At 37.9% G+C, this 24,653-nt stretch overlaps 1 protein-coding gene and 1 long non-coding RNA gene across 3 annotated transcripts in view; one reads left to right on the top strand and one right to left on the bottom strand.

The window, feature by feature from the left end:
* Positions 1 to 24,653, top strand: part of PLBD1 (phospholipase B domain containing 1) — a 64,223-nt gene that overhangs the window by 23,495 nt on the left and 16,075 nt on the right. The window contains exons 3-6 of the mRNA NM_024829.6: positions 2,098 to 2,181; positions 3,487 to 3,625; positions 7,679 to 7,819; positions 8,586 to 8,730. Of these exons, the coding sequence (NP_079105.4) occupies positions 2,098 to 2,181; positions 3,487 to 3,625; positions 7,679 to 7,819; positions 8,586 to 8,730 (509 nt within the window). The remainder of the gene's footprint in view (positions 1 to 2,097; positions 2,182 to 3,486; positions 3,626 to 7,678; positions 7,820 to 8,585; positions 8,731 to 24,653) is intronic.
* PLBD1-AS2 (PLBD1 antisense RNA 2) lies at positions 814 to 14,250 on the bottom strand. 2 transcript variants are annotated; one of them, NR_187784.1, is made up of 5 exons: positions 14,148 to 14,250; positions 13,179 to 13,347; positions 8,489 to 8,804; positions 3,140 to 3,298; positions 814 to 951 (listed from the first exon to the last, which is right to left on the bottom strand). It is a non-coding gene; the product is annotated as a PLBD1 antisense RNA 2 (long non-coding RNA). The 2 variants fall into 2 exon arrangements; NR_187785.1 differs by lacking the exons at positions 814 to 951; positions 3,140 to 3,298; positions 8,489 to 8,804 and adding an exon at positions 11,141 to 11,326.

Raw genomic sequence — 24,653 nt, 5'->3', positions numbered from 1 at the left:
CAGCCTGGCCAATATGGCAAAACCCCATCTCTACTAAAAATACAAAAATTAGCCAGGCATGGTGGCAAACGCCAGTAGTCCCAGCTACTCGGGAGGCTGAGGCAGGAGAATTCCTTGAACTTGGGAGGCGGCGGTTGCAGTGAACCAAGATCGCACCGCAGCCCTCCAGCCTGGGTGACAGAGCAAGACTCCGTTTCAAAAAAACACAAGTCCTTAGTTGGAAGACACAGCCTTTTAAATTGCTATAATGCAGCAGATGAGACTGCAGACAATTGAAGATAAAGGGAACAATCTTAAAAGCTATTAGAAAGGAAAGACATTAACTACAAAGGAATTTCAGCAGGAAGCATATTGCTGATCATCAGCAATAGTGTCAGAAGATACCAAGATATTATCTTAAAAGTATTGAGGAGAAATATCTTACTAGAATGTTATAACCATTTAAATTATCCAAGAGTAGGGGCAAAATAAGAATATGTTCAGATACATAAATTAAAAGTTTACCACCCAAAGACGTCTATTAAACTGTTAGAGGATATACTTTAGCAAGTATAATAGTAGGGAAGGTGTGGTATATAAGGAACAATCGTTAATACAAGAAACAAAAAATTAATACAATTTAATTGTAAAGGTTAAAAAGAAAATAATTTTTATTTTTTTTCCTGAGATGGAGTCTTGCTCTGTTGCCCAGGCTGGAATGCAATGGCATGATCTTGGCTCACTGCAACCTCCACCTCCCAGGTTTAAGCGATTCTCCTGCCTCAGCCTCCCAAGTAGCTGGGATTACAGGTGCACGCCTCCAGGGCCAGCTAATTTTTTTGTGTGTGTATTTTTAGTAGAGACGGGGTTTCACCATGTTGGCCAGGCTGTTCTCAAACTCCTGACCTCGTGATCTGCCCACCTCAGCCTCCCAAAATGCTGGGATTACAAGTGTGAACCATCGTGCTCGGCCTAAGAAAATAATTTTTAAATCAAAATTTTTAATTAAAAAGGTAAAACTAAATCTTTGAACAATAACATGATGGAGGATGTCAATGGGTAGTTAAAATTTGCTAAAATATGCTTTATGTTTGGAGGAAGAGAGAAATATAAAACTCATTTAGACTTTATAAGAAAATATTAGTTATATCTTTTTAATATTAAGAATAAAAATACATTCTATAGGTTTTAAATCAGCAAAACTGAAAAGAAAATAACAAAAGTATTATCTAAACAAAGAAAACATGAAAGAGGGGACAAATAAAGGGATAGTAAATGGAAAACAGAAAAGATTATAGAGATAAATCCAAGAATGTTAAAATCCCAGTAATATAAGTGGATTATTTTAATCAATTAAAAATATTAACTGTACACCATATGAGACATTTTTAATTTTTTTAAGTTTTAAAATAAAGAATCGCTGCAAGCTCTGCCTCCCAGGTTCATGCCATTCTCCTGCCTCAGCCTCCCGAGTAGCTGGGACTACAGGCGCCCGCCACCACGCCTGGCTAATTTTTTCCATTTTTAGTACAGACGGGGTTTCACCGTGTTAGCCAGGATGGTCTCGATCTCCTGACCTTGTGATCCGCCTGCCTCAGCCTCCCAAAGTGCTGGGATTACAGGCATGAGCCACCGTGCCCAGCCAGTATGATCTTTTTTATAGTGTGTTGCGAACATGATAAATAATTCTATACATTATTTATGGTTAAATGTATATGTAGTAATTGCATAAAAACATGCATGGGAATAATCAGATTCAAGACTGAAGTTATTACCTCTTGGGAGAAGGGAAAACAATTAGCATCAGGAAGTGCACACAGAGGCTTCGACTCAAATTTTTTGTTTGATTTTTAAAATATATGTGGCAAATATGGCAAAATATAATAACTTAATAAAGTTGAGCGGTGAATACTTGGGGTGTTTTCAATATTCTATCCTTTTCTATATGTTGTAAATATTTCCCAATTTGAAACTGTGCATTTATTAAGGAAAAAAAAGATAGTAGGCAGAGTTTGTAATAAGGGACATCCTAGTTAGCCAAATGATTGAATAATTTACTGTGATGGAGAAATCCAAGAAGAAAAATATAAATGTAATAATTTTCATGTATCATTTCAGACACATGAATGACCACTACACAAACCTCTACCCACAGCTGATCACGAAACCTTCCATCATGGATAAAGTGCAGGATTTTATGGAGTACGTATAATAGCTTTTCTCTTTTCATTGTTTTAAATGTTGGAGGCACTGAATCTGTAATTTCAAGCAGCAATTTTTTGCCAATTTCTTTTTAATCTCTTTAGCAGGACTCTAGAGTTATTCTTGTAGTAGGGTATAGCACTTTTTGCTAATGGCATGAAAAGTGGTTGCAGACAACATGCTCTCTAATTTCAGCTCTTTCAAAGGTTGAGTTGAATATCGCATACTCAATTGCTAACACGGTTAGAGGAACATCACCAGTGTAAAGTACCAGTGTTAAGTCCCTGGGTCTGTTCCTCATGGAGGCCCTTCTCCTTTTTTCAGGGATCCCCTCTCCTCGCTCTTTAAGATGTTTCCTTTTCATGAGCCTGCTTACTAATCCTAGCTGAGGTCTTCAATAATATCTAAAGTTATAACTCTTAACACCCTCTGAGAATATTTCCATTTTAATAAAGTTTTCTAAGACTAAAGTTTTAAATGTGTTTACATTTGTGGGATGACAGGAGATTAATTTGGGGACAGAAAGGCTCTTGGGTTGGCCCTCCAAACTGCACTCTAAGCAACCTCTTCATGAAATGCTTAAAGTCCTATAGAGCTTCAGTTAAAAACCACTGGGCTAGATCCCATGAAGCAATGACATTATTCTAAGATTGAGCTAGTGATAGCCTGGACAAGTCAGAAATAGTTTTCAGTACGCAAAGTTATATCAAATCATCCCATAAAAGTTCAGAGAACTGGAAGAAGAGTGAAAGGACCATTAAAAAATGACATTTTTGCTACCATGCTAGGACAGAGGCATTGAAGCGGTTACTAATAACAACTGAAACGGAATGAATCATAAGCTATGCAAATGATCTGAGAGAAATACAAACAGATATAAACCACCTTGTCCTTAGATTTTTGTCCCGTTGTTTAACTTTACTACTTCTACAACTAAAAGTAAGGTGAATCAACCTACCTTTATTGACTTTGTGAAACATTGTGGTTTTACACAAAATGCATTTGGATAGTCTCTCCTTGACATGTTTAGGTCTTGTATCACAGTTAGGTCACTATCACACTTATGCTTTTGTTCTAGATACAGCACAGAAGAAGCTGTGAAAGAAGAATCATAACCCTAGGGAGAAATTAAAAATCAGTTAGAATTTGCCCTGAAGTCCTTTGAGTGACTGGAGTGTTACAAGATCTAGAATTTAAATCACATTAGCATAAGTGTCTGAGTATATAATCTCTCAATGCCTGCTTTGATTTAGCTTTGAATGAGCAACTATTGAGACTGTGGTGCAAATCTAATTTCTCTTCCAGGAAGCAAGATAAGTGGACCCGGAAAAATATCAAAGAATACAAGACTGATTCATTTTGGAGACATACAGGCTATGTGATGGCACAAATAGATGGCCTCTATGTAGGAGCAAAGAAGAGGGCTATATTAGAAGGGACAAAGGTAGGACTTTAAACAAGCTTCTCAGAATTTATAGAGTATGGTAAGAATATTGAATGTTATCTTTAAAATAACATTCCAATTTAGAAGCAGGTCAAAGTAGAACTACAGTATAAATTCCTTACGGAAAAGAACTGTCATAGCTCTCATATTGCAGCACCTAACTTACAAAATTACAAGCCCAAAACACAAATAAGCCAACTTGTTTCTGTGTATTTTCAATCTTCCATAATACTGGGCTCAGGATTAGGTTAAAAAGCATAGTATGAATGTACTGGGTTTTTAGCTAATCTGATAAAACTAGTGTTTTAGACTGCATGCTCATTAAGACAAGATGTTTAAGTATACAAGTTCTATGTTTCCCACACTCCACAACATTCACATAAACACATATCCACACAAACACATATACATTCTAATTCTGGGGGAAAGCTTTACTGAATCACTAAGGCTTCCAATGTACCATTTGATGTACTTCCAAAATTATGGATATTTTATTTCCCGTGATAATATATGTCTAAATGAAAAATGTATATTATATAACTGTCTTTTGGTCTATTTTGCCAGTATATATGTATATAATCTGTATATTATATAACATGTTACATTTATTATGTTTTGTCTATTTTGCCAGTATATATATATATATATATATAAATAATATTTATATTATATAACTCTCTTTTTGCCTATTTTGACCAGTGTGTGTGTGTATATATATATATATATATATATATATATATATATATATATGTGCATAGCTTTTCTTTGAACTTTTTGTCTATTTTGTCCAGTATTTGTATATATATGTATATGTATACATATATACACACATATATACATGTACATGTCTGTGTATATATGTGTGTATATATATGTGTATATACACATATATATTGATAAATGTCAAAACAATAATACCCAGTGAAAGGAATGAGTTACAGAAAAATGCATACAGTAAGACTCTAACTTTTTTTTTTTTAGTCAGAGTCTTGCTTTTTCACCCAGGCTGGAGTGCAGTGGCATGATCTTGGCTCACTGCAACCTCTGCCTCCTGGGTTCAGGTGATTCTCCTGCCTCATCCTCCCGAGTAGCTGGGACTACAAACTTGAGCCACCACACCCAACTAATTTTTGTATTTTTAGTAGAGATGAGGTTTTACCATGTTGGCCAGGCTAGTCTCGAACTCCTGACCTCAAAAGATCCATCCGCCTCAACCTCCCAAAGTGCTGGGATTACAGGTATGAGCCATTGCACCCAGCCCACACAATATGACTGTATTTGTGCAAATTCAAAAAAGGTAGATTTTAAAAAATATATCTTAAAAATATATATAGATGATAAATATATTATATATAGATGATAAATAATAGAGAGGCAGGTAATGAGCTATACAAAATTTAGCATAGTGGTGACCGCTGGCGGGAAAGGAGAGAGATGAGATTGGAGACTTCCAAGGCACTGCTAATGTTCCATTTCGTAAACTGTGAGTTGACTACATCAGTGTTTATTTATTTTTCCTTAAATGGTATGTATACATCTTTATTCTTTCAGATGTATAATATCATCTGTCCTCACTCTTCTAAGCAGTGTTCCAATGTATGGATGTATTATACAGTATAACAAAAGAAATGCAAATATCAATTACAATGGGATACTGTTTTGCACCTATGAGATTGGAAATAAACTAAATGTTTAATATGTTGTTGAGGATGGAAGAGTTTTATTTATTTATTTATTTATTTAGAGACAGAGCCTCGCGATATCACCCAGGCTGGAGGGCAGTGGTTGATCTCAGCTGCAACCTCCGCCTCCTGGACTCAAGCAATTCTCGTGCCTCAGCCTCTTGAGTAGCTGGGATTACAAGCATGCGCCACCATGCCCGGCTAATTTTTGTATTTTTAATAGAGATGGGGTTTCACCGTGTTAGCCAGGCTGGTCTCGAACTCCTGACCTCAGGTGATTCACTGGACTCGGCCTCCCAAAATGCCGGGATTACAGGCATAAGCCACTGTGCCCGGCCAGAAGAGTATAATTTAAACAATTCGTATGAGGACAATTTGGCAATATCTATTAAAATCTAAATCACTTCTAGGAATTTATCCTACACATAGACTCAAACACAAGCAAAATGAAGCGTCCAAGATTAATTATTGTGGCATTGTTTACAATATCAAAAGACTAGAAACCACTTGAAAATTCATCAAAAAAGAGTAGTTAAAAATATTATAATACATCCGTACGTTGGAATGCTGCTTAGGAGAGTGAAGACAGGCTGGGTGCAGTGGCTGACACCTGCAATCCCAGCACTTTGGGAGGCCAAGGTGGGTGGATCACCTGAGGTCAGGAGTTCTAGACCAGCCTAGCCAACATGGTGAAACCCCATCTCTACAAAAAACTACAAAAATTAGCTGGACATGGGGCGGGCACCTGTAATCCCAGCTATTTGGGAAGCCAAGGCAGGAGATTTGCTTGAACTCAGGATGCGGAGGTTGCAGTGAGCTGAGATCGCGCCATTGCACTCCAGCCTGGGCAACTAGAGTGAAACTCTGTCTCAAAAATAAATAAATAAATAAATAATAATTAAAAAAAGAAGAGTGAGGACAATTTTTACATCCAATATAAAAATATCCCCAAAACATTAAATGAAAGATACTAAGACAAAAAAAATCAAGGTGAACAACAGCACATATGACACACTACCATGTATGTTTTTAAAAATTTTATTTACAAGACATTTTTAAAACTCTGGATCCAAGATCACAGTGCCAGTAGGGAAAAATAAAAAAATCAAAAAACTCTGGCAGTATATGCAAAAAAACTAGTAAAAATGATTAACTAGAAATGGTAGTACCTGAGAAAATGGAGAACAGGTAAAGGAGGAGACTTTCTGATATAAACTTTGTTATAATTTTTTTTAAATCTTGACTAATAAATGAATAATTTATTCAAACAAACAAAACAGAGATGATATTTATATAAATAAAAATTGGATTGAATTTTTGCTTTGGTTTTAGTTTTTTGGTTAAAATGTCATTTGTGTTTGTCTTCCCACCACCTCTACCCCAAAACCAATTTGCTGATGCCTAACCCGGACCTGCTCCAGCAGATTGAATCTTCCTGGAGCCGTGCTCTCCAGTTTGCACAAAGTTCATGTTCAAGTACAATCTGATAATTGCTTCAAAGTCAATGCTGGCTGGTCAGTTAGTCTTATAGTAAACACACAATCAAAACCAAAAGCATCTTAGTTGAATGTTTTTGCTGTATAGCAGTGGTTCTTGTCTAAGAGTGGTTTTCTCTCCAGAGGACACTTGGCAAAGTCTTGGAGATATTTTTGGTTGCCACAACTGTGAAGTTGCTGCTGGTACCTAGTGGGTAGAGGCCAGGGATGACGCTAAACATCTCACAACGCACAACAACTGAAAAGAAAGTATCGGCCAGCTCAAAATGTCAATAGTGCCAAGGTTGAGAAGCACTGCTGTAGAGTGCAAACAGAAAGCTCTGTTTTACTCTCCAAGGAGCCACTCCCAAATTCTGGGGCTATCAAAACATGCCAAAACAGCTCTTTTAAACTATAAAGCCATAACAATTATTTTATAAGCTACAATAAAAATCTAGCGTACCTGTTAAATTAGAGACTCTTCGAAAATAAATAACTTTTTTTTTTTTTTTTTTTTTGAGATGCGGTCTCGCTCTGTTGCCCAGGCTGGAGTGCTGTGGTGCGATCTTGGCTCACTGCAACCTCCGCCTCCTGGGTTCAAGCGATTCTCCTGCCTCAGCCTCCTGAGTAGCTGGGACTACAGGCGCCCGCCACCACGCCCAACTAATTTTTGTATTTTCAGTAGAGACAGGGTTTTGCTGTGTTGGCCAGGCTGGTCTCAAACCCCTCACCTCGGGAGATCCACCCGCGTTGGCCTCCCAAAGTGCTGGGATTACAGGCGTGAGCCACCATGCACAGCCTGCAAGGGAATAATTTAATGGGTCCCTAACAAGAGGAAAACAGGAAATGATGTCTGTCACAAAACGATGTTAAGTGCAGTCTTTGTCCTTTCCTAGCCAATGACCCTGTTCCAGATTCAGTTCCTGAATAGTGTTGGAGATCTATTGGATCTGATTCCCTCACTCTCTCCCACAAAAAACGGCAGCCTAAAGGTTTTTAAGAGATGGGACATGGGACATTGCTCCGCTCTTATCAAGGTAAGACATAGCAGCTCCTTTTGCCTTGTTCTGGTTCATACAGACTTTTTCTATATAGCGCCCAAGTATAGCAACATCTCATCACCCCTGGCTATAACTGTATATCAGCTCATGAGTTCTTCAATGGTAGAAGTTAAGAACTGGAAGTAACTTTGATGGAGAGAATTGTAAGTACACGATGTTACATCTGTTCTTCCACCATTCCTCCCATGCTGTATGCACCTGCCACTCCCACCTTCTAGAATCTTCCATTTTGTTTTGTTTTGTTTTTGAGCCGGAGTCTCACTTTGTTGCCCAGGCTGGAGTGCAGTGGTGTGAGCTTGCCTCACTGCAACCTCTGCCTCCCAGGTTCAAGCGATTCTCCTGCCTCAGCTTCCCGAGTAGCTGGGACTACATGGGTGTGCCACCATGCCTGGTTAATTTTTCTTGTATTTTTGGTTTAGACAGGGTTTCACCATTTTGGCCAGGCTTGTCTCAAACTCCTGACCTCAAGTGATCCGCCTGCCTTGGCCTCCCAAAGTGCTAGGATTTCGAGCGTAAGCCACCATGCCCAGCTGGAGTCTTCCATTTTGAATGTTAGAAGGAAGAGTCTGTTTGGGGCCACATTAAAGGTTAATCTTGACTCCTTGGCCATATTTTCCAATAATCAGTATAGCAATAAACACTTACCTGAAATGGCACAATCCCTGTATGCCTCTTACACTTAAGACAATTGCAGTCAGTTAGCTATGTACATCTGTGTAATCCACTATGATTCTGGCTGTAGGTTCTTCCTGGATTTGAGAACATCCTTTTTGCTCACTCAAGCTGGTACACGTATGCAGCCATGCTCAGGATATATAAACACTGGGACTTCAACGTCATAGATAAAGATACCAGCAGTAGTCGCCTCTCTTTCAGCAGTTACCCAGGTAAATGAATTTAAAGGAACATCTGAGCACTTTGAGTACTATTCCTGGATAAAACCTTAGTGATTCAGTGTTAACTGCAATGGGAGAAGAAATGTTTAATGGTTAGTATATATTAACAAACAATCTGATTTTCAGAGGGCTTTTGAAGAAATATAGCTCAAATACTTTTATTTAATAGAATGACATAAACAAGGTTACTAGAATTGCCAAATAGAAGACACTTTGTAAATGTAAATGGCTACATCTAAATTTATTTCAACAAATGCCAACTGAGTATGTATCAAGTACAAGACTCTTTGCTAGGCTCTGCGGCAGAAGCAATGAAGACATGGCTGATCCTGCACTCAGGTACCACCTTGAGGGCGTGTAGTGTTTCTTTTATTTACTGCACTATCCACAGCACTTAACCTCAGTGTGTGGCATTGAGTACTTAATAAATTGCCAAATGAATGGATGAATGAATGTGTAAGTTTATAAACCTTACACTATACTCAAGAGGACAATATAAAGTGTAATATGAATAAGAGTAATAATATTACTGGATACTGTATGTGCTACAAAAGAAGTGTAACCAGTGTTGTCCATTCCAAGGAGGTGAGACTCACATCTGATTGTTGGGGAAAGAGAGGACAACCTTTGAGATAGACCATGAACATGGCTATCTCAAAGTGGCTAGAATTTGAAAGGATGGCTAGAATTTGAAAAAGTAGAGATGGACGGGAGGACAGTCCCAGTAGAGGAGAGGCTGCAAATTCCTGGGCCTAAATGCAATAGGCAGGTGAGGTAAATGAATAAAGCAGGACTGGTTTAAGAAAACAGTGGAGGCCAGGTGCTCACGCCTATAATCCCAACACTTTGGGAGGCCAAGGTGGGCGGATCACGAGGTCAGGAGATTGAGACCATCCTGGCTAACACAGTGAACCCTGTCTCTACTAAAAATACAAAAAATTAGCCAGGCGTGGTGGCGGGCGCCTGTAGTCGCAGCTACTCTGGAGGCTGAGGCGAGAGAATGGCGTGAACCCGGGAGGCGGAGCTTGCAGTGAGCGGAGATCACTCCACTGCACTCCAGCCTGGGCGACAGAGCGAGACTCCGTCTCAAAAAAAAAAAAAAAAAAGAAAAGAAAAGAGAAAGTGGAAACAATGGTAGCAAACATATGACCCACAGAAAGGAGGCAAGGATGAGCTCTCACTGTCTGTTCTCCATCCAAGAATTTCCAGACCCTCCAACTTAAGATAAAACTATGTATTTAAAACAACAAAACTCACTCTGTGAATCCAACAAAGCATGTGTGTTAGCATGTGTTAGCCCCAACCTCCTCAGGAAACATTATGAGCAAAGTCAAGGGGAAAACACCAAACATCTAAGGGTTCAACTGGATACACTGTAACCAGTTTGACCTTTAATTACGCATCCGTAACTTATGGGGTGGTTATACCAACCACCTGTCATATCTATCTACCTTTGTCGGAGTATTTTGCTCTTCCTATCAGAAATTCCTTTTTATTTTTAAAGTCAGGGTCTCACCCTATCGCCCCAGGCTGGAGTGTAGCGGTACAATGTTAGCCCACTGCAGCTTTGACCTTCAGGGCTCAAATGATCCTCTTGCCTCAGCCTCCCAAGTAGTTGACACTACAGGCACACATCACCATGCCTGACTAATTTTTTAAAAAATGTTTTATGGAGATGGGATCTTGCTACATTCCCCAGGCTGGTCTTAAGCTCCTGGGTTCAAGTGGTCCTCCAGCCTCAGCCTCCCAAAGTGCTGGGATTAAGGTGTGAGCAATCATGTCCGGCCCCTATCAGGAATTCTGACCAAGGGCATAACCCAGTATTTCTCTGTCCTTGTGACCTGATCCTTTCTTTGAAACCAATTTGATTTCATCTTTGTCTTAGTTTGCTTAGTTGTTTTAGCATTGAGGGGGACTGGGGACTCCTCTCTCTGAGTTAGACTGTGCTTTGATTCTTTCACATTCTATTACACTGACATTTAAGGACAGCAAGAGACAGAGCAGTCCAGTATTCTTCCTCTTCCTCATCTTTGTGATAAAATGCAATATTCAGATGTTATGTGCACTGCTTTGAAATCTCTGTGGAATACAATGCTCTCCAGTAGTGTTAACAGTCCTGGATCCCAGAGGTAGTGATGGAGAAGGTCATGGAAGATTTTCTTATGAAACGTATAATCCTGTTAACATTTGCATATGTATCCTTCCAGATGAGATACACAAGTAGATTTCATAGATAATATGTAGAGCTTTTTGGAGCAATTGAATCTCCAAGAGAGCAACAGACAGTTTTATATATACCCCAAAACATTTTTACAGGAGCCAATGGAACAGTGGGATTCATATTTTCTCTAACTGGGCAGCTTTGTTCTCAGCACCAAACAGGAAAACATGTGCAGTCTCATTTATGTTACAACTTATTTTATTAAGGGACCAGCCACATTGGATTCATCCAGTAGACATGACATAGAACTATGCTTTACGATGAAGCTCATGCCATCTTAGCTGCTGAGTCCAGAACAAAGCTGGATGGCTTCCTTGTTTTTCTTTGATGGAGTTGTTTAACAGGCTTGGTCTTTTTTAGTCTTTTCTAAAATACAAAGTGGAGATTGAGGAAATTATTTCACCTAAAGAGGCTAACATGCAATACCCAGGGAAGGTCAAAAGTATACCAAAGTATACCAGGTGCTGATAACCTCAGTACCACCCTTAGGTCTGGGCACAGGAACCCCACCCTCCCAGCTTGGAATTACCTTCATGAAAATTACCTAAATCCCCCTCCAGCATCCTGAGACTGGCCAGGCTGGCAGTATCTTGACCTGTGTCTCTGTGCATCTAGTTTAGAAAGCTCCTTTCCAGAAAATTTCAAAATCCCCTTCTAGTGCCCAAGACTGACCAAGGTGGCAGAGCCATCCAGGTCAGCTTCTCTGAGTCCAGAAAGCAACGCATGTGGACTCCCTATCTGGGGGCTCTTCTCCTCCATTCCTGCCCACGCATGGGTTCAACAAGATGCCCTAAGGAGCTCTGGGACTCAAGCCTATGGCCTGGTCCTGGTAAGCAGATTCCTCTAGTTGGCCCTCACAGTATATATTTTTTGCAAGATGGTGCATAACTGAGCTGTCAGAACGGTGGTCACACGATGACCTGGGGTGACTCTCATGTCAGAGCATATGTTCAGGGCTCTATGCTACTGAAAACCACCTCTTACCCTCGGGTTTCAGCATGCAGCAGGGGAGGACGGTAAAGCGAACTTCGACCTATGAGCTCCACATCTGGCCCCTGTCGTGGCCTCCTCACCCCTGCAGCTCTGTACCATGTGTCGGTCAGTCCTTGGGGCGGGCTAGGCCTGGCCCCTCTGAGGCCTTTTGAGAACCTTGCTCCACAACACAAACGGGCCTTTGCAGCAAATCTTTTGCTGCAGTTGGTGATGTGACTTCCTACTGTCTTGGGTCAGTCTTAAGCCAGATGGATTTTTCTGGTGTGATTGGGACAGCTCTTCCAGCTCGACTTATAGGCTTCTCACCTATCCTACCCACTGGTGCCCGTGGGTGAGGAGTGAAGGTGGGGGAGGGTTCAGCATGAAAAGAGATTTGACTCATGAAGACTTGACTTAAATTGTGAAGCCTTAAATTATGAAAACTTTACTTAAATTTTCCTGGGGCTTTTAGCCTGTTCTTTTATCTTTTTATGTACCTACTTTCAAATACATGCACTTAACATTTAAACAGGCTAAGCAGGCTCATGCCTGTAATCCCAGCAATTTAGGAGGCCAGGGTGGGCGGATTATCTTGAGCTCAGGAGTTTGAGACCTGGGCAACATGGCAAGAGCCCGTCTCTGCAAAAATACAAAAAAATCAGCCGAGTGTTGGTAGCTCATGCCTGTAATCCCAGCTATTTGGGAGGCTGAGGCTGAAGAACAGCTTGAGCCCTGGAAGCAGAGGTTGCAGGGAGCCGAGATAGCACCACTGCACTTCAGCTTGGGGGACAGAGTGAGGCCTCGTCTCAAGAACAACAACAAAGAGATTACATTCTAGGGAGGCAGCAATTAGCCTGAAGAGTCCAACAGAAAACATGTCGATCTATGTTTACACTGTAAAATTCCCAGTGTAGCTTTAGTAACCATAAAACAAATTATCATTCACAATTTTTTTAACACTCTGGGTAAGGCTTGCATTTGTGGTCATCATTAACAAAGCATAATAAGGATTTTTGAGTCATTAGAAGCCAGGATTCACAGGTAGAGTGGTAGATGTCGCAAAGTCATTAAGAAAATGGTGTTAGGGAACTGCAGAGGCAAGGAGATCTGTGTTGTTTCAAAACAAACAGGTTCCAAAAAGTCATGGTTTTGTAATAACAGTATTGCTACCTTTTTCTCATAACAAAAAATAGGAAATTAGCCAAGAACAATGCATTTAATAATAAAGAATACAAAGAGATGGTACCTGGATACTGTAACAAATCTTCACGTGCACTGATTGGACAATAGACAAAACAGATTGCCTTTCTCTGCCCATCATCCTAAATCTTCAATGATAAATCATCATATCTCACATGTACTGATGAATTTTTAAATATATGTTTTTAATCAAATTGTTTATATAGGCAGGGGCCCTGTTAAAAAAGACAAACAAACAACAACAAAACAACAACAACAACAAAAAACACTTGCCTGAGGCACTGGATACCCAAAGGAAAGTGGCTTTGAATGGCCTTGTTCTAGGAGTTTCTGTCCCTAACAAGAAGGGTTTTGAATACATGGTCTGTTTGCCTAGTAACAGCTAAGGCTGAGTAAGGAATGGAGAAGCCTTGCACTAGCCCTCCCCACACATTTACTTATTTTGGCAATGCAAATTAATAATCAAGGAGGTAAGACAAAGAGATAAATCACTAGAAAATGACGGCACTGAAATGGCAGCCAATACAATTGTGTGAAGACCTCAGCACAAAGATCTGATAGTTTTAACCAATCCAGAGAAAATTTACTTGTCAACAACATTGAGTCTTCCAATCTACTAATATAATCTATTTGTTTATTTCAGTCTTTAATTTGAGTCATATCATGTAGTTTTCAGTATTTAGGTCTTACATACCTTTAAGTAAGTTAAATCCTAAGTAATGTTTGATGCTACTGTAATCAAAATGTTTTTTATTCTTTTTTCAGTTGTTTGTTGCTCATATGTATTTATTGGTTACCCATTGCCACATAACAAATTGCTCCAAACATTAGTGGCTAAAAACAATAATGATTTAGTTACTCATGGTTTCTGTGGATCAGGAATTTAGATAGGGCACAGTGGGGATAATTTGTCTCTACTGTGACTGGGGCCTCAGCTGGAAGACTCAATGACTGAGGGGCTAAAATCTCTGATAGCTTAACTGAGACTGGAACATGCACTTCCAAAACGACTTACTAACATAGCTGACAGGGTGGTGCTGGCAACTGGTTCCTCTTCACTTGGGCCTCTCCTCAGAACTGCTTGAATGTCCTTCATGGCAAGACCCCTGGCTCCAGACGAAGCCATCCAAAAGAACAAGGCAGAAATAGTAATGCCTATTGTGACCTCACCTCAGACGTCACACACGCTCACTTCCACCAGGTTCTATTAATTAGAAGCAAGGTGTTATGACCAGCCCACATTCAAGGAAAGGCGATTAGAATCCACCTTTTAAAGAGAAGGGTGCCAAAGAATTTGTGGAAATTTGAAAACTACCACAATGTATTACGATTTTTTTGTACATTATTATCCTGAGATCTTTCTAATAGCTTTTTTGTAGATTCCTTGGGATTTTCTATATATACAATCATGACATCTCTAAATAAAGACAGTTTGACTTCTTCCATCCCTTGTATGTCTTTGATTGTTTTTTTGTATGATTGTGCTGGAGAAGACCTCCAGAATAATGGAGACCATAAGTGGTGAGCATGCAAATCCTTGCCCAATTCCTGACCTAGGGTGAAAAGTATTGTCTTTCACCATTAAGTATGATGTTAACTGCAGATTTTTTGTAGATGCCCTTTATAATGTTAAGGAAGGTCCCTGCTCTTCCTACTTTCTTTAATATTTTTATCAATAAATGAGTGTTGCATTTTTCTGAATTCTTTCTCAGCAATTGTTGAAAAGATCATATGAATTTTTTCCTTTATTAATATGATAAGTTACATTGATTGATTTTCAGATGTTAAACCACTTGAAATTCCTGGGTTAATCCTCAGTCATGATGTGTTATTCTCTGTATTTATTTTTAGTTCAGTTTACTAACGTGTTAATGATTTTTTTCATTTACATTCATGAGACATATTTGTTTGTAGTCTGCTTTTCTTATGATGGTTTTTGTTTTAGGATAAGCTTATCCTCATATCCTAAATGTGGAATTATTTCTTTCTCCTAAGTGTTTTAAGAGCATGTATATGATTAGTGTTATTTTATTCTATTTATTTATTTATTTATTTATTTTTAAAGACAGGGTCTCACTCTGTCCCCCAGGCTGGAGTACAGTGGTGTGAACATAGCTCACTGCAGCCTCAAACACCTAGGCTCAAGTGATCCTCCTGCCTTGGTTTCCCAAAATGCTGAGATTACAGGTGTGAGCCACTGTGCCCAGCCCATTTTCTTCTTTAAGTGTTTAATAGAATTCACGCGTGAAGCTAGATATGAAGGTTTTTATTTGTTGAAAAGTTATTAATTGTAAATTTAATTTCTTTCACTGCTACAGAACTATTTCAGTTTTCTAACTCTTCTTGAGTTAGTTTTAAAAATGTATCTTTCAAGGAATTTATCCCTTCTTTCTAAGTTATTGTTTTTATTGATATGAAGCTATTTATAATGTTTTTCTTAACCTCTTAATGTCTGTAGGATCTGTAAAGTCCCCATTATCATTCATGATATTGTCCATTTTTCTTCTTTATTAAGATAAAATTTCCATTTTTATATTTATTTTCTTTCTTCTACTTACTTTGCATTTAATTTGTAATTTTTTCTAGCTTCTTAATGTAGAAGACTAGATAACTGATTTTGATCTTTCTATCATAAGCAAATAAAATGATAAATTTTCCAATAAGCACTACTTTTGGTGCATCTGACAAATTTTGGTATATTTTGTGTTCATTTTTATTCCATTTAGAATATTTTCTAATTTATCACGATTTATTTAATCCATAGCTTATTTGGAAGTGTATTGTTTAATTTCCAAAAATTTACAGATTTTTCAGATCTTTGTCACTGTTTTCCAATTTAATTGCATTTTCTAATTTATTCTGAGATCAGAGAGCATATTCTGTATGATTTCAAATTTTTTTAACTTTATTGAGACCTGTGTTATGGCTCAGCATGAGTCTATCTCAATGAATGTTTCATATGCAGTAGAAAATAATGTAAATTCTAGTACTTCTGAGTGTAGTGTTCTGTAAATGTCAGTCAGTGCAAGTTAATTGATAGTGTAATTCAAGTCATCTATACTCTTAACTGATTTTCTATTTGTTAATCATTTACTACAAAAGAAATATTTATACCTCCACTATAATTATTAATTTGTCTGTTTCTCATTTTCTTATCTTTTTTCTCTAATCCCATGGCAGATTATATTTCTCATTTCATTTCTGGTAGTTTTGCTTTATGCATTTTGATACTCTATCATTTAGCACATACATTCATAAGTATGGTATATTCCTACTATATTGACCCTTTTATCATTATGAAACGTCTTTTTTTTTTGTCTCTAGTACAACTCCTTGCCTTAATGTCTACATTGTCTTATATTAATATAACCACTCCAGCTTTCTTATGCTTACTGTTTTCATCTTGTACTTTTCCTGTCTGTTTACTTTCTTTTTTTTTTGTCATTTCATACCAGCAATTTTATTTACACAGAAATAACATACAGGTATCTGTTATAAATGTCAGAGATCATCTCTACATTTCAGATCTTGATTCAGTTTAAGGGCCAATAAAGGAAGGTTCTTTTCTTTCCATTAAGTTTCTTGCCTTTGTTTTTTGTTGTACAAAGTGTGTAGTACTAGCAACTGCATTACCATAGCATGTCTTTAATTTTCAATTTGAAATCTTATGTGCTGGAGGAAAGTGCATCGTAAGTTTTTGTTTTTGTTTTTTTTCACCTTACAAATTCAAAAGACTAGAATAACGGTAGTCATCTGGAAAAAGTAAATCATGGATAGATATAATTTTGAAGCTGATGCTTAATGATGGCAGTGATTTTTAAGTGTGGTAACAAACGTTTTGGGAGCATGTATCCTCTGTCAAGATGGTACTAGTAACAGATTCAAAGTAGCACAATATCATATCAGACTGATGTGGGTTTTTTTATGTTTGAGATCAGTTGGTGACCCTGTTGTTCTTTAGTAAATTGGTGCCATAAGCTAAAGTTAGCATATTCATATTTTCCCTGCCAAAAGTCCTTCACAAATAACTGGTCATAAACTGAAAAAAAATTAATATCTGCAATATAAATGTGTTGTCTATTAGAGATGGGGCTAGATGTCTTAAGGATTTCTAAGTATATCTTAAAATTTATACGGTAGTAGTTCATACCAAGAATCATCTGGGGAATTTTAACAAAATATATATATGTTCTAAACCTCATCACTTCCCCATAAATGCAGCTTAAGTCTGTAAGTCTGAAGGCGTATGTGTATGTTGGGTGTTTTTCTTTTTTCTTTTATTTTGAGATGGAGTTTCGCTCTTGTTGCCAAGGCTGGAGTGCAATGGTGCAATCTTAGCTCACTGCAACTTCCACCTCCCGGGTTCAAGTGATTCTCCTGCCTCATCCTCCCGAGTAGCTGGGATTACAGGCATGCGCCACCACGCCCGGCCAATTTTGTATTTTTAGTAGAGATGGGGTTTCTTCATGTTGGTCAAGCTGGTCTCCAACTCGTGACCTCAGGTGATCTGCCTGCCTCGGCCTCCCAAAGTGCTGGGATTACAGACGTGACCCACCATGCCCGGCCTTGGATGTTTTTCTTTCAGCTCCTCCAGTACTTTCATATTATTCTAATATATTTTGTTGGTATGAAGCTATGAAGCAAAAGTCGCTATTACCAATGCATACATACAGTATACTGGTTTTAAGTTCCACCTCAGAGTGAATCTTAGAGCCTAGTGTAAGTGCTCCACTTTAGAGATGTACCTTAATTACTACTGTATTTGCAAATTAAGGGAAATTTAGGTCATCATTTGATTTTCTAAAACCTAAAAGGAACTGGCCATCATTACCAAGTCTTTCTAGATAATCAAGGGTAGATGGCTGTTTTTAATGTAGCAATTAATGTAGGCATTCCTGCTTTCGGGTTTAAGTATGAATCAAAGCATATTTTAATTTGTTAGCACAAACGGAATGTCTGTTTACTTTCAAACTATTTGTGGTTTTGTGTTTGTTGTATGTCTTTTGTAGACAGATAATTAGTACATTTTGCTTTCTTTTCAATCAAGTTTGACAGTCTCTTACTTTTGATGGAAGTGTTTGGGTCATTTACATTTACTGTAAATATTTATATATTTAGATTTAAGTCTGCCATTTCACTATTTAGTTCATTTCATCTCTATTTTGTTTCTCTGTTCCTCCTTTCCTGTCTTTTTTTGTGTTAAACATTTTAACAAAGGTTTTATAACAAAATATTCTATATTTTAATAAGTTGGCTTTCTAGCTATATTTATTTGCATTTTTAAAATTGTTGTCCCTGGGGCTTGTGATATGCATCTTTAACTCATCACAATTTGCATAAAGTTAATAAGCAATTATGTCTGCTAAAAAATATATAGGAACTTAAAATGGTAATTATCCCATTTAGTGCCTTCCATCCTTTGTGCTATTGTTGTCATATATATGCTCCATCTATATATGTTATAAATACACCAATATGGTGTTATGATTTTTTACTTAAAAACTTACTGTCTTTTAAAAAATTAAAACAAGTGTGTGTGTGCGTGTGTGTGTGTGTGTGTGTGTGTGTGTGTGTTGAGAAGTAAGCTGTTAAGTATATTATTTTCCTCTCTAATTTTTTTCTGCATTTAGATTTTTGGTGACTTCAGCTTTGTCGTGGGCTAGCTCTGGTCTTCTTTGTGATTATTGTATTTTAAGTTTGTTGTGCTGGTAGGAACTGCAAATTAATGTTTTTCATTAAATGTAAGGGTTTTTCACCAGTTATAGCTTCACATATTTTTTCCATCCTCTTTTCTCTCTCTTCTCCCTCTGGGACTCCAGTCATTTATCCATCAGATGCTAAACATTTTTGCACAAGTCTTTGGGGCTTTGTAAATTTTATTTAGTTTTCTTTTTCTCTCTGTTCTTCAGATTGGATGATTCCCATTAATCTTCTATCTTCAGGTTTTCTTTGTTTTATTTTTTGTTTATTTTATTTTATTTATTTATTTATTTTGAGATGAAGTTTCACTATTGTTGCCCAGGATGGAGTTCAGTGATGCGATCTCAGTTCACTGCAACCTCCACCTCCCAGGTTCAAGCGATTCTCCTGCCTCAGCCTCCCAAGTAGCTGGGATTATAGGCATGCACCACTACACTGGGCTAATCTTGTATTTTTAGTAGAGATGAAGTTTCACCATGTTGGCCAGGCTGGTTTCCAACTCCTGACCTCAGGTGATCCACCCGCCTTGGCCTCCCAAAGTGCTGGGATTACAGGCGTGAGCCACCATGCCCAGCCACAATCTTCAGGTTTTCTAATTCCTTCTTCTGCCATCTCAAATTTACTGTTGAAGTATACAGTGAGTTTTTCATTTCATTTACTGTACTTTTCAGATCTAGAATTTCAATTTTGTTCTTTCTTTAATTTCTAATTTTATGTTGAGATTCCCTCTCTGGTAACTCTTAAAACCATATTTTCCTGTTTTGTCTTTGTCCGCTAAACCCAATATCAAGACCTACTTGGAAACAGTTTCCAGTGACTTAAGTGTGGGGTCGTACCTTCCTTTTTCTTTTGAGGTGACAAATATAGCAAATACCATGACTTGATCATTACACAATGTATATACATATTTAGTATATTCTTCACCGCAAACATTTATCAGTTCCTTATGGCAAGAACGTTCAAAATCCTCTTTTATAGTTATTTTGAAATATGTAACACAATATTGTTAACTGTAGTGCCTGGTAATTTTTGGTTGAAATGTGGACTTGAAAAATAGCACACCATAGTGTCTCTGAAATGTGTATTTTTGAGAATTATGTTTTATTTTATTTTTAAATGACATATAATTGTACATATTTATAGGGGACAGTGTGATGTTTTGATGCATGTATACATTGTGTAGTGAACAAATCATGGTATTTAGAATATTCATCACTTCAAACATTTATCACTTTCTAATGGTAAGGACATTCAAAAATCTCTCTTCTAGTTATTTAAAATATATAATATAGTATTGTTAACTATAGTAAGCCTACTGTGCAATAGAATACCGCAACTTTCTCCTTCTATCTAACTGTAATTTTGTACCTGTTGATTAAGCCCTTTCCACCTTGCCTACCCTCCCCAGCTGCTGGTAAGCATTGTTCTTCTCTATACTTGTATGAGATCGGCTTTTATAGATTCCACATCTGAGTGAGATTGTGGAGTATTTGTCTTTCTGTGCCTGGCTTATTTCATTTAACATAATGCCCTCAGGGCTCATCCACATTGCTACACATGACATAATTTGATCCTTTTTATGGCTGAATAGTATTCCATTATATGTATATGTATCATATTTTCTTTATCCATTCATCTGTTGATAGCCATTTAGGTTGATTCCATATCTTGACTATTGTGAATAGTGCTGCAATAAGCATGAGAGTGTGGATATCTCTTTAACATACTTATTTCATTTCCTTTGGATAAATACCCAGCAAGGGGTCTAGTTTCATTCCTCTCCATGTAGATACCCAGTTTTCCAAGCACCATTTATCAAAGAGAATTTTTTCCAATGTGTGTTCTTAGTGTCTTTGTCAAAAATCAATTAGCTGTAAGTGTGTGAATTTATTTCTGTATTTTTTATTCTGTCTTATTAGTATATATGTCTATTTTTATGCCAGTACTATGCTGTTTTGGTTATTATAACTTTGTAGTATATTTTGAAGCCAGGTAGTGTGATGTTTCCAGCTTTGTTCTTTTTGCTCAAGATTGCTTTGACTATTTGGGGTCTTTTGAGGTTCCATACACATTTAAAGATTTTTTTCTCTTTCTATGAAGAATGTCATTGGTATTTTGATAGAGATTGCACTGAATCTGTCAATTGCTTTGATTAGTATGGACATTTTTTTAAAAATTCCTCAAATCCGTAAACATGGAATATCTTTCCATTTGTATCCTCTTCATTTCTTATGTCAATATTTTATAGGTTTCATCATAGAGATCTTTCACCCGCTTAGTTAAGTGTTTGTTTTTGTAGCTGTAGTAAATGGAATTGCCTTCTTATTTTTTTCTGATTGTCTGCTATTGTCATATAGAAATGCTATAGATTTTTGTATATTGATTTTATATCCTGCAACTGTACTCAATTTACTTATTAGTTCTAACAGTATTTTGGTGAAGTTTTCAGGGTTTTCCCTGTATAAGATTATGTCATTTGGAAGCAGGGACAGTTTGATTTCTGCCTTTTCAATTTGGATGCTCTTTTTGTCTTTCTCTTGCCTGATTGCTTTGGCTAGAACCTCCAGTATTATGTTAAATAAAAGTGGTGCATTTGTGTCTTGTTCCAGATCTTAGAGGAAAAGCTTTCAACTTTTCCCCATTCAGTATGATGCTAGCTGTGAATTTGTCATATATGGGCTTTATTGTGTTGAGTTACATTTCTTGTATATCTGTTTTGTTGAGAGTGTTTATCATGAGGGGATGTTGAATTTTATTAAATATCTTTTCTAGATCAATAGATTCAACATCCCTTCATGGGTTTGTCCTTGATTCTGTTAATATGATGTATTATGTTTATTGATTTGCATATATTGAACCATCCTTGCATCCCTGGAATGAATCCCATTTATTATGGTGAGTGATTTTTCTTAATGTGCTGTTGAATTCAGTTTTTAAATATTTTTTTGAGGAGTTTTGTATCTAGGTTTATTAGGGATATTGGCCAATAGATTTATTTATTTGTTGTGTCCTTATCAGGTTTTGGAATCGGGGTGATGCTGGTCTCATAGAAAGATGTTGGAAGTATTCCCTCCTCTTCATGTCTTTTGAATAGTTTTCAAAGGATTTGTATTAGTTTTTCTTTAATGTTTGGTAGAACTCATCAGTGAGGCCATTGGGTCTTCGGCTTTTCTTTTCTGGAAGACTTTTTATTACTAATTCAATCTCATTACTTGTTATTGGTCTGTTCAAATTTTCTATTTCTTCATGATTCAATTTTCGTTAAGTTTTATGTGCCCAGGAATTTATCCATTTCTTCTAAGTTTTCATATTTGTTGGCATAGAGTTCTCTATATCTCTCTCAAAACTTAAGAAGTTTCTGCTATTATTTTGTGAAGCTTTCTGTGCCCTTCTCCATCTCTTCTCCCTCTCAAGTTTCTATAGTGTGAAAATGTGTTCACTTAATGGTGTCTCATAGGTCTTGTAGGCTTTCTTCACTCTTCAAGCAAAGAGCTGTCTTCAGTTCAGAAATTCTTTATTCTGCTTGGTGTAGTCTGCTGTTGGAACTTTCCATTATATTTTTTATTTCATTCATTAAAGTCTTCAGCTCCAAGAGTTTTTTTTTAATGATATCTCTGTTGAATTCTTTATTCATATCATGATTTGCTTTTCTGATTTTATTGAATTGCCTATCTATATTATCTTGAATCTCATTGATTTTCCTTAAGATCATATTTTTAAATTTTTTATGCAATTAGTAAATTGCCATTTCTTTAAGGTCAGTTATGGGAGAGTTATTGTGTTTTTTTGGTGGTATCATGTTTTCTTGCTTTTTCATATTTCTTGTGTCCCTGCACTGATGTCTGGGCATCTGATAGAATGGATGCCTCTTCCAGTTGTATAGAGTTGTTATCATAGGAAAAGATTTTTGCCTGCAGATGTGTCCTAAGGTGTCGGTTGTGGAGGATGCATTGGCTGTGGTTCCAGGTGGATGCAGTAGTGTAGTCACCATGCAGTTTTTTCAGCTGTAGTCAATGTTAGCAATTTCTATGGATGCCTCAGTGGCATCCTAGCCTGGAGGAGTTTGTATGGCAGCTCTGTCAAATCATATGCATGGCTTTTCTGCTTGTGGCAAGGGTGCCAGTTTGTTTCATGCGCCACGGGTGCACAAGGCCTACTCCAATAGGATTAGACACAGTCTGTCCTCTGGGGGCAGGAGTGCCAGGCTGTTACACACACCGCAAGTGCATAGGGACTGCTCCTTCAGGGTAAGGTGTGGCCTTCCTGCTGGGTAGGATCATCTGTTCCTTGGGCGTCAGGACACCACATGGGCTCAGGCACCAAGGTTATGGCTGTTTCACTGGGCCTATGCTCTGAGTAATTGAGGTTGAGGTGCTGTGCCACAGGGATGGGGAAGATGGAGTGCATCGTAGGCAGCTTATTCCTGGTGGATAGGAAACAGTAGCTGCTCAACTGGTGAGTGGTGTGCTACTGTTTACAAGCACAGTGTACTTGCAGCAGAGCCTCAGGATGGGGAGAAACAAACAGTGGTTACTGGCCCTCCAGAGCACAGTGTACTATAGTAGTGGCACCGGTCTCAAGATAGTGCTGTACATCAGCAGCTTAGATCACAGAGGAGAAGGAGGCACAATGTGGGCTCATTCTTTGGAGTAATACAGCCATGTGAATGCCAGGCAGCTCCCTAGAATGGGTTCATGACTTGTGAAAACTGCAGAATTCTCAAGCAGCAAAGACTGTAGGTGTTTGCATCTTTAATGGAGATTGCTGGGAGTTCTCCTGCTCACGTTTTCTCCGTAGGGAGACTGCCTCCTGGTTTCATACCGACCTTGACTGGGAAGACGAAGTGGCAAAGGCAGAATGTTTCATTCTCTTTTTTATGCAGCCATCCCAAGTCTCCATGCTCCACTGGGTCTCTGCCCCTCCCTTATTGTACTCCTTCGGAACACTTTAGTGTTCTCCTTTGGATACTCTAGTCAAAATGTAGTTGTTTATTCATCATTTTGGTTCCTTTTTTTTTGTAGGGAAATGAATGTTAGGCACCTCTAGTCAGACATCTTGCTGAAGTCACTTGTTTTACTTTTTTTGTTGTTGTTTTTAACAGGCAATTACCTTGCTTGCACTCAAACTTCAACATATGTCACCTGCACAGTGTGCAGCAACCAATGTCCTTCCTCAACACTGCTGCTTCAACCTGGTCTTCTGGAGGTTGCTCCTGCATCTGTGTAATTTAGCAGTCAGTGAAAGATGTTGGCAGCTCAAATTCATATTATAGAGCTAACTCTCTTTGTGATTTCCTTGATCCTAAGGTTTCCCCTATATTCCCATTTGCTTTTCCAGCTCTTACCTTTGTCCTCTGAGAGCCTGAGGAATTTGAGCTGCATATGAGTTGGGAACCCTGGCAGTGTAAGTTGCAGCAAACTCACCTATCTCAGTTCTAGAACATTTCTGTCTTACAAGGGAAAACCCTTCTCATTTCTTTCTGTTTTTACCCTGGGCTCCCTGGCATTTCCCACATTCATGCACAGTTAGTGGTCAGTCAGGGAACAGGACACAGTTCATATTCAGATTTTGGATCTCTGCTCTTCTTGTGGTTCTCTTGCTCCCAAAATTTTCCTCTTAAATTCTCAGCTGTTCTGCAATACTAGACTTTGATCTCACCATCTCAAGCCAGAATGGCTCTAGTTTTCCATAACTAGAGTTGGGTATGGGCTATATATTAGTTTGCTAAGGCTGCCATGACAAAGACTGGGTGGCTTAAACAACAGAAATTAATTATTCTCACAGTTCTAGAAGCTGAGAGTCCAAGATCAAGATATTGACA

The sequence above is a fragment of the Homo sapiens genome, chromosome 12, assembly GCF_000001405.40.
Source record: "Homo sapiens chromosome 12, GRCh38.p14 Primary Assembly".
Lineage (NCBI taxonomy): Eukaryota > Metazoa > Chordata > Mammalia > Primates > Hominidae > Homo > Homo sapiens.
The sequence above is the reverse complement of the archived record's forward strand: the minus strand, read 5'-3'. Positions and strand labels throughout refer to the sequence as shown.